Source organism: Homo sapiens, chromosome 3 (genome assembly GCF_000001405.40).
Source record: "Homo sapiens chromosome 3, GRCh38.p14 Primary Assembly".
In the NCBI taxonomy this organism is placed as follows: Eukaryota; Metazoa; Chordata; class Mammalia; order Primates; family Hominidae; genus Homo; species Homo sapiens.
The window spans coordinates 41,353,716-41,368,003 of NC_000003.12; the positions used below are offsets into that span (position 1 = coordinate 41,353,716).

The following is a 14,288-nucleotide window of genomic DNA, read 5'->3' on the forward strand; positions in this document are numbered from 1 at the left end:
ACTACTACTACTACTACTACTACTACTACTACTACTAAAGCAAAACAAAGAAAGACTGCTTTATAACTTTCCTGGTCTTACTTCTATAGGGTACACCTACTATACTAGTTAAAATAATGCTAGATGAAGTAACAGATGCCTCACCATCCCTTCCTTCACCCAAATCTCGGTGACTAAACACCTTAGAAGTTTATTTCTTGTGTCTTCTCATAGACAATTCAATGCAAATCACAAAGGTGGCCTGCTACCTAGTGTCTCAGAGACCCATGCTCTTTCCATTGTGGGGCTCCACTGTCCCATGAGGATCCCAGAGCCCTCTGCATGCAGCTGGCAAATAGGCAGAGAGAGGGCTGAGAAGGCACCACTGCCTGCCAAGGAAACTCATCCCAGAAGTCACACATATGCCCTCACACATCATTAGTGGAACCTGAATGCAAGGGAGGCTGGGATGTGCAGTCCAGTGTGAGCCACGTAAGAGGGTGACTATCCTTGGTTCATTGTTGACCACTCTGTCACTCCCTGCCTTCTCCCCTCAGTCCACAGTGGCTGAGCAGGGGCTATGTTGATATCATGAACTCATGGAGAGGGGCCTTATGAGACCATGGAGTCCAATCTGCTTTTATTGAAGTCTTGAATAACGTGACAGGGGCTTCTTTTCCAAGTGTCACTGCCCATAATTTCCATAGATTGTATCCACTATAAATCAAGCCTCTCTGGCTGTTTCAGATATTTCAGTGGAATCTGGTTTTCAAACGGGCTAACTCATTTAGGGACACATTTGCAGATAGTTCTCATTTAATTACAAACATTGTATGACAACAATATATGGTAACATGTCTCTTACCTGTTAGACTGGGGATTCTTTGAGGTAAGGACACAGTAGAGAACTCTTTATTATAGTTTCTGCTCTTAAGCTGGGGACAAGCAGAAGCTTGACAGAAGCCAGGTTACAAAAGTGTCCTGGAAGATCAGGAAATGAGGTCCCACTCTGAGATGGGGCAAGCAAACTCTGCTAGTTTCAAGCAAGCCCACTAAAGCTGTGTTTACAAGATTATAACTTGTTTTTACAAATCTGTATTCATTACAGACACATGTAATTGCAGATGAGCACTTCTGTGCAGTCTTCTCCAGGTTGAACACTTGACCTCTGTTTTATTTCAGAGATCCAGAATGGCTTGCTGACCTCACCTCTATCTGTGGATGCTCCTCCCTCTAGTGATGGCTATCTTTCCCTTCTCTGAATATGTGCCTCAAAGCGCTGCGAGGTTCCTGTTCATCAATTCTAAAGGAGTTGCTCTCAACTCTCTACCACACTGGAAAGTAGCTAGAAAACTCTTGTTTGCCAGGAAAATAACAAAAATAACTGTGCTAAGGGTAAAGACAATTACCTTTTCAAGAGTGTCTGTGTATTAAGGAGTGTTTGTACCCAAAGAAAGATCTCTAGTGGTAAAATTTTAGAAACTAATGATGACTTTCAGGGAAGACCCAAAAGACAGAGATGCTTTGAGGTGGAATGGCACACCCATACTCTTCAATTACCTTAGAATGGTAGCTTTTGGTCCGCCCACATCTAAGACTGGACCTGGGAAAGAGATACAATCCTGGCTTGAATCTCAGCCTCCAAACCCAAAAATGCTCTTGGGCTTGTCAAAAGCCCTACAAAACCTAACTTCTACTTATAGATCAATTATTGTACCCATCGTGAAGACTCAGTGATCTTTTCAAAGAGTAATTCCCTGTATGGATATATTCTTAATAGAGATTTTGGGATAGAAAGTCTTCAGGGCAGTATTCATAATCAACTTTCTTATTGTAAGAGAGCTGACTGTCAAGACTGTTGTTTGAAAAAATATTTTAGAAGGTCTCAAATCAAACTGTATAATCAGCACTCATGTTTTATGCAAATTAGAAGATATATTCTTATACTGCATCACAGGATCTAATCATCCTAGCACATCACTCAGAGAAAGCATATGCCAACCAAAATTTAGAACAATAATTCACAGTCCATGGAATAGTGCATCACCACAGATTAGACTTGTTATAAATTTATAATGATTTCATATAAAAACATTACATTTTAATAGTTTGAAGAAATGACAGGGTAGGGCTGGTATAAATGTTTAACTAGCACTGTCTCATATTTTATACTGTTTATTTCATTACTGGATATGCTAAAGTGAAAGAGCTAGCTTAAAAATGTCATCAAATTCAAAACAGAAAACTTGAGAACAAATACTCTATGCAAACCATTTTTCTAGCCTGAAGGATATCCCACAGCCTCTTTCAGATAAGCACCTGGATATGTAACTATCACAAAATTATAACTTATTTAAATTGTTTATCATTCTGACCTTGGTGAGATGAAAATAGGTCATAGCCCTTGTAATTAAATTTGTTTCCATATTTGAGGCTGCCACAGAGAAGCCCTGTCCCCTGTGTTCTCCCTGCCAAACTGCTCTTTGGCTCTTCTGTGACTTTACATGCTTCTATAAAGGACAGAGGATCACTCAAAACACATCTAGTCCTATTAATATGAGATTGAGATGTGGCAGTCCTTGGGATACGCCAGACGCATAGACGAGACCTGAAGCTGCCTGGCAGGAATGCATTTGATTTGTCACTGTCAGGTGTATATCATCTCTTGCCGTTTATCTTGATAGTCTCTCCTGTCTCCAAATTCTCAGTGACTGTTCTTCTCTAATACAATCACTCACAGAGGTCTGAGGATATGGTGGCATCCCAAATCACAGCATCAGGAACCATATCCTTACTACTTATTAAGTGTAGCTTAACCAGACTAAACATTCCACGCCTCACAAGCCAGTGCAAAAAGGCAGTTGTGGGACAGGTACAGTATGATTCCTTTTTCTAAGATATATTTTTTTTAACATTTTCACTCATTGCTGTAATGCTTTGTTTTCTCTAAAGGTTATATGTTACCTGCACAATCAGAAAATTAAAATAAAGATTTAATTTTGCTAAGAAAATGGATGTTCTTCTGGTTAGGATGTTTCACAGGGAAGACAGAATCAGAGTGGAAGCTGAAACCAGGCAAAGCCCATCAGGGCCAGGTGTCTGGGGAGCAGCTTCAAGGGAGAGAAAGGAGTGAAGGGAAGAGGGAAGCCTGAGAAGTGGGGTGCAAGGAAGAATGAGGCCTAGTAGTTCAGGCAGCAGGTTGAAAACACCTGCTCCCCACACCTGCACATGAAATAGGTGAAATAGAGAGGCTCAGGTCCATGCTCTGAGGAAGGCAAAAGGTATGATAGTGAGTCACAAGCAAGAATTTGGGGTGTGGAATCTCGACTCTAAGCCCTTTCCACTTTTCAGGCATCTTCTGCAACCACTGGAGGGTGTTGGACCCCAGAGTAAAGCAGTTGTTTTATTTGGAGATTAAAGGCAATAATCACCCTAGAAGCTTGGACTATGTGAGGACATTTGGGTAAACATTCGATCTTCACATTAATCTATGAAGCAGATGTTACAATCTCCAGCTTTTGATAAAGAAAATAAATACTTAAGGAAGTTAATTAATTTGTCCCAGGTTTCCCAGTGTAGAGTGGAGACTTCAACCTAGACTCAACATGAAAACCTTGCCTCCTCAAGAAAGATATCATAGGAAGAATAAGTGACAGTCCAAGTCAGCAGCCTCGATCCAACTGTGAGGATGTGTTCATGGCGTGTGGGGTAGAACGCTCTCCGGAGTGCTCGGCTGGCAGGAACACCCCACAGCCTAAGAGTGGGTGGGAGCCAGAAGATGTAATTATAGATTGCATGTGGTCTGCTTCCCGCGGTGTCAGTTTCTGAGAGTGGGACACCAGGATCTCACAGTTAAACAGGGTGGAGCTGAGAGATCCTTGGCACTGGAGACTGTCATCTGTGTTTGCTCACTGCCATTTGTCGCACACCTAGTGCAGAGCCTAGCACAGAGTAGGGCTCAGAACATGTTTGTCGAACACATTCATGAAATGGTAACAGCTCAGCATAGGTATAGGTCTACTGCCTGCCAATCTGATGCTGTCCCCTCCCACTTACGCTGTACCTCCAAAAGGAGACATGTAGATTTGATGTAAGCTCACTTAATTCAACCTACTGTGGCAGGAGTCACGGAGGATCCAAAGATGAACAAAAATATTACAACTAACACTTAGCATCTATCGTGTGCTGGGCACTGCTCTAATTGCTTTTACAGAAATAACTCATCTGGTCCTCACAATAGCCTCATGTATAAAAAGAGAAAACTATTAGAAACCCATTCTACAGATGAAGAAATTGGAGGCACAGACAGGTTAAGTGACCTCTCTAAGGTCAGAGTGCCAGTAAGTGCTGGAGGCAGGTTCAAACTTGGCAACTTTGGCTCCAGAACTTGTGCTGTTCACCATTACACCACACTGCCTCTCACATGATCTCTAGCTACAGGACATTGGAGGGCAAACACACCACAATGGAGTGGGCTCCGCAGAACAGATTGTGGCTCAAGCCCATTCCAGAGAGGAGCAGGTGCATACTTTACAAAAACTACTCATTTATTTAAACAAACCATATCCCTAGTACAATTATAGGTGTTAGGTATATAGCAATGAGGATAAGAATGTACAAATTCATTATCTATGTAGTGCCTGTATATCAGAGGGGCAGATAAACAACAGAAAATAAACAAGCAAATAGGCAAAACACAATAAGAAAAGACAGTAAGTGTAAAGGGGATAAAGCAAGCTAAATCAGCAGGCAAAGGATGCAGAGGCAGAGAAAGGGGCGCCTGTTCCTGCAGGCTGGTCAGGGAAGGCCTCTCTGACAGGGTGACATGTGAGTAAAGACCTGAAGGAAGGAAAGGAGGAAGCTATGCAGTTATGTGGAAGAATCTTCCAGAAAGAGGGCAGAGCACATAAAAAGGCCTAGGGGTACAAGTATACTTGGTGTGCCTCAAAAACAGCAAGTGCATCACGACTGGAGTGAGCAGGAAGAAAAGTGGCCAGAGAGGAGGTGAGACGTGTAGGTAGTGGAGACTGACTGCAGGGGCCTCAAAGATGAGGGAGAACTGGATTTTACTCCGAGATGGACAGCCAGTCCACGGCTTGCATGCCATAAACTTACTTAGGTTTTCAGAGGATGGCTCTGGCTGCTGTGTTGAGAATGAACTGGGGTGGGGGTGAGGGGCAATGGTGGAAGCAGGAAGACAAGGCAGTTACAATAAACCATGTGTGGGGTGACGGATTGGGTGGAGCAGTGGAGGTGGTAAAAATGATCAGATTCTTCACATACGTTGAAAGTAGGGCCAACAAAATGGGTTGGTAAACGGGGTGGAGTGTGAGAGAGGGAAGAGTTAGAGATGACTTGTTCCCTCACTCCCTTCAGGCCTCTGCTCAGAGTTCACCCTACTGAAGAAGCAGGACTTGCTGATGCAAGGTCTGACTTGGGAAACTTGAAGCTGCCATGACTAAGGCGAACAGGAGTGAGGGAGGAACAGGCCTGGGGAGGCCATGAGAAGCCTGAGGTGCCAATGAGCCAAGTGGGCGAAGATGTGGAGCATGCAGCTGACTCCGTCAGACTCGAGTTCAGGCTCTGGGTGGGCTGAAGGTACAAATACAGAGGCCCAACTGTAAAGATGATAGAAAAAGCTAGAAATTGGATGAGCTCCCCTAGGGAGCAAACCCAGATGGAGAGGAGTAGCAGTCTTAGGACCCAATCTTCAGGCAGGCACTGCAACGTTTAGAGACACCAGCCACAGAGATTGAGCTGAACGGTCAGTGTGTCGGGAGAAGCAAGAGGGTAGGGTGTCCCAGAAACCAAGGGAGAGAGTGTTCCTGAAGCAGGAGTCACTGGCTGTGCCAAAGGCCAAGTCAGCCAAGGACTAAGAACTGATCATTCACTAGTCACCAGCAAGAGTTGCAGGTACAGATGCTCAGCTAGCTGGAGACAGTGAGTCTAGACAACTCTCCCAAGAAGTTTTGTTGGGAAGGCAGGTAAGGAAATGGGGCAGAGTTAGACAGGAATGTGGATCTGGAGAGGCTTTTATTTTCTTTTTTAAAGGTGGGTGATATCCATATACAAAAATCAACTCAAGATGGAGTAGAGACTTAAATGTAAAACCCAAAACTATAAAAACCCTAGAAGAAAATCTAGGCAATACCATTCAGGACACAGGCATGGGCAAAGATTTCATGATGAAAATGCCAAAAGCAATTGCAACAAAAACAAAAATTGACAAATACGATACAATTAAACTAAAGAGCTTCTGCAGAGCAAAAGAAACTCTCATTAGAGTGAACAGACAACCTACAGAAAGGGAGAAAATTTTTTCAAACTATCCATCTGACAAAAGTCTAATACCCAACATCTACAAGGAACTTAAACATTTACAGGAAAAAAAACCCATTAAAAAGTGGGCAAAGGATATGAACAGACACTTCTCAAAAGAAGGCATATATACAGCCAACAAACATGAAAAAAAGCTCAACATCACTGATCATTAGAGAAATGCAAATCAAAACCACGATGAGATACCATCTCATGCCAGTCAGAATGGCTACTATTAAAAAGTCAAAAAACAACAATGCTGGTGAGGTTGTGGAGAAAAAGGAATGCTTTTATACCGTTGGTGGGAGTAGAAATTAGTTCAACTCATTGTGGAAGACAGCGTAGCAATTCCTCAAAGACCTGGAGGCAGAAATACCATTTAACCCAGCAATCCTATTAGTGGGTATATACCTAAAGGAATAGAAATCATTGTTATAAACATACATGCACGTGTATGCTCACTGCAGCGCCATTCACAATAGCAAAGACATGAACTCAACTTAAATGGCCTATCAATGATAGACTGGATAAAGAGAATGTGGTACATATACACCATGTAATACTATGCAGCCATCAAAAGGAATGAGATCAAGTCCTTTGCAGGGACATGGTTGGAGCTGGAAGCCATTACCCTCAGCAAACTAACACAGGAACAGAAAACCAAATACCACGTGTTTTCAATTATAAGTGGGAGCCTGAACGATGAGAACACATGTACACACGAAGGGGAACAACACACATTGGGGCCTGTCAGAGGGTGAAGGCTGGAAGGAGGGAGTGCATCAGACAGAACAGCCAGCAGATGCTGGGCTTAATACCTAGGTGATGGGATGATCTGTGCTACAAACCACCATAGCACACGTTTACCTATGTAACACACCTGTACATCCGGCACATGTACCCCTGAACTTGAAATTAGAGTTGGAAATCAAAAAAAAAGGAAGGAAAAAAACAGATGGGTGATATATATCAGCATATCATATTCTGATGGGAAAGACCCAGGAAGGGGCGCTTTGATGACGCAGGAGAGAGAAAGGGGAGATCTGCTATGGGATGTCCTTGAGCAAGCAGGAAAAGTGAGACCTGGTGCAGAAGCTGAGGGCTCAGCCTCAGGGAGGAGTTGGCCCCTCCAGTAAGAGGGAACAGCAGCCTTGTGGCACAGGTGCAGGCAGTTGGCAGATATTGGGGAGAGAATCTGAGGTGTTCTCTCCTTATCTGTTTCCTCAGTGACATATGAAGGTCATCAGCTGAGAGAGAAGATGATAGGCTTAAAAATCTTTTATAAGATTTTAAATAGGAAATGGCAAAGTTAGATCTGATTGAGAAAACTCCAATTTGATAAGATAAAACCCAGGAAAAAATACACAAAATTAACAAAAAATATGAATTCCTTACCCTATTGTTTGAAAAGTGCTCTTGGACACAAACTCATCTTCTCCTAGGATCAGGCCTGACAGTGGGCCATTCTTTGTGGAAGCAGCTGACTAAATCCAGAACTTGTTGGACATACAAATAAAACTGTTTAGAACTTTGAAAGCTATACAGTTAAAAGTACATCATTTGGAGATTATTTTATATCACAACACTACTATGAGATAAGTTTTCATATCCCGATGTGACTGACTAGAACCTTTTTTTAAAGCAGCATTTTATTGGGTGGTGGTTACACAAGTCTTTATTATTTTGTTTTCTGCACATTTTTGCATGAGTATGAAATATTCATAATAATAAAATGGAGCATCTTACTCTAATTTTGATATGATGAATTTTCATTCAATGCAAGTAAAATCTTTAAAGATAGACTAGAATTTTGGTATTGTTTCTAGGGAAGTCAGCTGTTTTTGTATCTGTCATTATGAAGTAAGAGCTTCAGCAGGCTTGTAAAACAAGATAATTGAGGCTTTACTTGATGTTCTGCTGTTTATAATATCATGTGGGTCACTGTATTTTCAGAAAGGCATTCTAAACAGTTGAACAAAGATTAATTTGTGGAGGGAAGAGTTTTGCTGATAAAGCTTATCTTACTGCCCTCTGCTTCCTGAGAGTATCATTGGTCAAATACCTCAATTAACCAGAAGAGCCCACTTTTCAGTTGTGTCAGACAGCACAGGGTTAACTATCATAAGACAGTTGAGTCTAGCAAGTTTATTTCAGGTGTGAAAACCTACAGGCATAGACTTGTGGCTTAAAGACACAAAAAATGCAACTTCTCCAGTGTAGTGTTGACTGGAGTATTCAGAAAGTTACTAGGTATGATGATGCTATATTATTCTGGAATTTTTTTTAGAACAAAGACAATTTTAACAGAAAAGGTAGAATTCATATTTGTGACTGAAATAGAGACTGACATATTGAAGCTATTGATAAAGCAGAGATTGGTTAAGAACATTCGAATCAGCAACACATTCCTAAAAATAGATCCCTAGAGGATTTTGCCAACTCTTCATATACTAGGGTATCATATACAGTATACATGTATCATATACAGTATATACAATGATGATGATGGTTAAACTGTCAAGCTAAAATATCTAGCTTCAAATCCTGGCTCCACCACTTACTCAGCCATCCTCTTATGCCTCAGATTTTATAACTCTAAAATGGGGTTAATAGTATCTCCTCTCATTAGGTTGTTCTAATATTATCCACATCAATGACTCAGTCAGTGACCAGCCCAGAGACAGCAAACACTCAATACATGGGTAGATTTTACATCATTATTAAGACAAAGGTCAAACAGTAACTTTGAAGAAAACTGTTTCCCAGTCTATAGAGTCATCTGATTAACAGTCGGTGACAATAACCAGAACATCTCTGGGATAAGCACTTAGCAACAGAGAACATTCCAGCTTCACGACAGCTCAGAAGCTCAGGAGACCCAGGCACCAAGAGAGCAGAGCCCTGATCTGGCTGCACTGTTCCTGGAAAGTTTCTGTGCAGTGATGCAGTCTCCAGTGTCATTTGTTGCAGCTGAGGCCTCGCCAGCAGGCTGGCTATTCTCCAGCCTTTGTAATGGTAATGGAGGGAGGAGACCTGCAACTTTGCAGTGGACTCTCTGAGCCACACTGCCTATCCCTACAATGCCCCAAGGTCACTGAAGAGAGAATACCAGAGGCTCCAGCTCTCAGTGGCCATGCAATTAAGCCTAACAAGGCATAAGGAGCTCCCCGGGGGGCACATAGAGATGCCCACAGTAATTGGCAATGGTCCTCTGGTCCCCCAGGGGCTGAGGATTATCTGTTAGCAGCAGGGAAGGGACAGGGAAGGGTCAAGACTTTGAGGGAGGCCAGATGGGATCACCTATCTTCATGCATAAGTCATGAGCAGCTCTGTTGACTGCTCTGTGCTCTCCTGAGTCAGACACAGCAAGGCAGATGCCTGGTTTGGCGAATCAGGAAAAAGAGGCTTCCTCTGTGCTGGGAGGTTCTGGCCTGGGATAGCTCCCTACCTCTCTGTGTGGCTCCAATAAAGCTGACTTCACAGCTCTGGTTCTTGCTGAGGCAAGCAATAAAAATGTGTGCATTATGCAGTGTACATTCTAGTTCACCCAACACTGAACCCCTCAGCAGAAGGTGTGTACCACTGACAGGAAGGGTGTGCATGATCAAACAGAAATGGGCCTTTACTAAAGAAATAGGATGAAAATTTGTAATATAGTAGGGATATTCCACACATTTAAGATGACAACTGCCATTTCCAAAGTATATATCTGTGGGCATGGGCATGCATATATGCATTTGTCTTTTCTTGATGGCTTTCTCTGTGACAAGCACTATGACAAACACTTTGAATATCTATCTGCTGTAATCTTCATAAAAGGGCCCTATCAGGTAAACTACCATTCAGTTTTGAGATGTTAAGGGATGTGTCCAAGGAAGGGACAGAGTGAAGATTTGAACCCTCCATCCAAATTCTCTCTCTTTTTTTTTTTCTGTAGATACAGGGTCTCACTCTGTTGCCCAGGCTGGAGTGCAGTGGTGTGATCTCAGCTCACTGCAGCCTTGACCTCCCCAGCTCAAGCTATCCTCCCACTTTCAGCCTCCTGAGTAGCTAGGACTACAGGCATGCGCCACCACCCTCAGCTAATTTAAAAATATATATTTTTTGTAGAGACAAGGTCTCAAAATGTTGCCCAGGCTAGTCTTGAGCTCTTGGGCTCAAGTGATCTTCCTATCTTGGCCTCCCAAAGTGCTGGGATTATAGGTGTGAGCTGCTGCACCCGGCCCAAGCCTCTTCTCTTAATCCAGTCACTGGTGATTAACTATCCGGAAGGGCTCACTCAATACTCCCCACTCTACCTCCTGCCCATTTCCTGACCTTTGCCCCTGAACTGATTGATCAGCAACAACACTGGCCCACCTGCCCTCCACCAGGCCCTGTGCTGCGCCCCTTGCATGTTACATTATTAAGGCATCAGTATGTAAATATTGTCATTTTAACAGAGAACAAAACTCTTGTACTGTTTTGGCTAGCCTGTTTCACAGGTTTATTAAATCAATATTTTTTTTTCCTGGTATTTCTCTTCTACTGCTGCTCAAAGTCTCTCCATTTGTGAATTCTTTACTAGATAAATGAGACTTTAGAGGCAAGAGACCATAAACATATGCCAATGCTGAATGTTATCATTATCATTTAATAAGGAAAAATTAAAGAAATAGAAAGATTTTCCCAAGTGGATGTTAGCAGGCCTTCTAGAAATACACAAACAAACACAAATTGGAGTTCCAGTCCTCTTTCCAGCAAACATAACTGAAAATATATGGAACTGGCTAGAGACAGACTAGATTCGGAAAAGTGAAACTCTCAGATACAAATCTTTTTTACGGCTTCAATAATCACCCTTCTGGATTGTTCAGGAGCCTTCTCCAGAGCAGCATTTCTCAAAAGATATGCATATGAATCATCTGGGGGATCTCATTAAAATGCAGATACTGATTCTGCAGGCAAGGGGTGGGGCCTGAGATTCTGAATTTCAAATAGGCTCCCAAGTAATGATTTGGCTGCAAGTCTGAGACCAAATTTTGAATAGCAAGGGGCTAGAGGTCCTGTCATCTCCATCACAAAAACTATCCCAGAGATGGCAGTATTTCAGCATTTTTACTACACTCAGGATTCTGAATCCAGAAGTTCTGTTTGCCAGATAATCTCAATATCTGGTGTGGAAAATCTGGCTGTCTTACCAGGGCATGCCATGAATGAGTGTTTCTTCACATCACAGTAAACAGTAACACTTGCCTCATTTAAGAAAAAGAAGAAGGGGATAAACAAAATTTGACAATATTTGGTAGCCTTCACAATCTTGAAGTTTGATGAAATTTTAATGAAGCAAATACGAAATAGTCTCAAATAACCAGCAGATATTTTTCATGTCCTAATGTTTTGCAATTCTGTGGGCAAAAAGTATTATGTATCTGGAAAATAAGACAACTAATGTTTTTGCTGCAGCCAGAAAATTAATATAACATAGGAATAAAAATGATGATAATGACAACAGCAATTAATAGTTTCAAGCACTTATGCTCCAGGCACATGCTAAGCACTTTGCTTACACTATATCTCATTTAATCCTCATAACAATTTTATGGTAGAAATATCATTATGTCTAGTTTTTTATGATAGAAAACTGAGACTCAGTGAAGATAGGTTACTTGCCCAATTATTTACCAAATAAAAGTGAGACTGGAACCCAAGGCTGCCTAACCCCCAAGCCCCTGCTCTTCACCATTACGTTAAATGAGTGTTTCATTGCAAATACAGAAGCAGCACCTTGTAAGAATTAAATTTCACCTACCCCAATGGAAAGACAACTACATCATAAGGCCATATCAAATAAACTACAGACTTAAAAAAAAAAGTTAAGATGACTGATTTTCTTGATTAAAGACATAAATCAAGTTGGTTAAAATCAAATACTCCAGATTGCAAAGTTAATTGTTCAAAAACCATTTGGATAGATTCACTACTTTCCTCAACAAAGGGTGATCTGTTAATTATATGTACTGAAAGGCTGCACAGGTTAAATCCTCCAATCCACAAAGACAGGACAGTCTCACAAACCAGGCTAATAATGGCACCATTTCAAAAGCTGGGGATGTCCTCAAAGCAAACAGCAAGTAGCACTCCAGGTGTTCGTTCAGCTCCCCATAGCAGACAGCCCTGGGCAACACAGAAGGAATCCCAGCCAAAGGGCTTCCTGGCTTCACTATAGGTGCAATTCACTTCTTGAATTCCTCTAAAAACTTACTTCAGTGGAAAACCAAGGCACACACATTTGCAGTGGTTCTCACCAAAGAGGGACAACCACTTAGGTGAAATATGAGGGAAAGTAGGTAAGATGGTCTTTAATTTATATATTATGATATTGGAAATATAATTCCCTAGAAAATATGTGCTTCTGAGAGTAACAGCATACATTTTATGTTTTAACAGTCCTATACAATTATATTTATTTGATCTAAGTAAATATGTAATAATATCCAGTTCAATTGATTCTACAAATGAAATGCCCCAAACACCTGTATTTGGAAAATATGGCTACACACACACACACACACACACACACTTTATCTATATACCTATTATGTATATATACACACACACACATACACTTATTGTGCGCAGATATACTTATATCTGTATATGTCTACAATTTTCTATGCCATTGTATATTATACCATTGTAGATATACACATGAATATACACAATATGCAAATTGCTTTCATGTGGACAATGTGGGGGAAATGTCCATATGCCACAGTTGAGTCTTCTGTCCCTTCTCTCTATGCTGGGAGGGTATTCAATTTCAGTAGATCATCAGACCTGTGGTGCTAATATACAGTTCCCATAAAGGGCTTTTGAATCTGTTTGATGTACCTGCCACAGTTCTTAACATTTCTCTCACTCTGTGCTCAGAGAGAACTCTTCAAGCTGGTCTTGTAAGTAAGTCACTTGACTTCTGTCAGTGTATTGTTATTCAATCCCTCTACTGGGATTTAAAATCTGAAAGTCGTATTTTACGGAAATCTTTCAAGTTGTCATCAGGGTACTAATTAGATATTTTTAAAGACCTGTTTCTTACATTATCTTTGTTTTTTCCATGACCATTGGCCTTTGGGATCCCCTGTGGCCACTTTTTGGCTACCGACTTCCTCAAATGCCCAGCAATTCTTGCCTGTTCATGTTCATAAATGAAGGTCTATGAGTACTGGCAGCCTGATGAGATATCTCAGCAATTTTTAAGATCTCGCTTTGATTTTCTTGGGGATCTTCTCCTAAGTAGATGCTGCCGAAAGCTGTAGGCAGCCTCACCCTGGAGTTAGTGAGAAATGGATGAGAAAAGAATAAAGATATCAATTCAGAGGAGGAACAGGGACGGAAGGTTGAGAGTCTTCTTTGGTAGAGGGCGATGGCTCTGGGGGACCAGGACAACCCAGTCCAGAGTTCAGTTACTCTTGTGCCCACCCACAGGACACCTTGGGGTATATCCTGTGGTGAGCAGCTCCATGGCTGGAGCTGGGGCCCACGCTTCGCTCTTCCTCAAAACCCCTGGCCCTGAGTCTGGGATTCCTCCAGAACTTTTCCATAAGCCTGCTTCCTGCTTATGGTGGTATGTGGTCTTCTCAATCCTGAACACTCTCTCAAAACAGTTGTCTTCTAGAAATTTCTCAAATTAGGCATCTATTATTGATAACTTGCCCTGTTTATAGTGATATTGTGCATTTTTACTTATTTTCCTACCTATTTTGATTACTTCAATGGAATTTTGTGGGAGCCAGCAAAATAAACACATGAACTTTTCACCATTAGGATTTACAATCCTAATTCATTTAGAAATATGTTAATATATGTATATGTATATATGTATGCAGGTATACACATATGCATACATATATGTCATGTGTGTGCCAAGAAAACAACCAAAATATTCCAACTACGTTAATCTATGCATTATATGTTTAAGGAAGACATTACTTTCTTCTTTTTGCTCGTGT

At 41.5% G+C, this 14,288-nt stretch overlaps 1 protein-coding gene across 6 annotated transcripts in view, besides 1 other annotated feature; it reads right to left on the reverse strand.

The window, feature by feature from the left end:
• Positions 1 to 14,288, reverse strand: part of ULK4 (unc-51 like kinase 4) — a 715,505-nt gene that overhangs the window by 107,117 nt on the left and 594,100 nt on the right. The window lies entirely within an intron of this gene.
• Positions 9,045 to 9,804: an enhancer, noted in NCBI's record as "OCT4-NANOG hESC enhancer chr3:41404251-41405010 (GRCh37/hg19 assembly coordinates)". NCBI's record gives its function as "activates a minimal SCP1, AML or CMV promoter by ChIP-STARR-seq in naive and primed H9 embryonic stem cells {active_cell/tissue: H9 hESC(naive and primed)}" and the evidence as "EXISTENCE:reporter gene assay evidence [ECO:0000049][PMID:30033119]".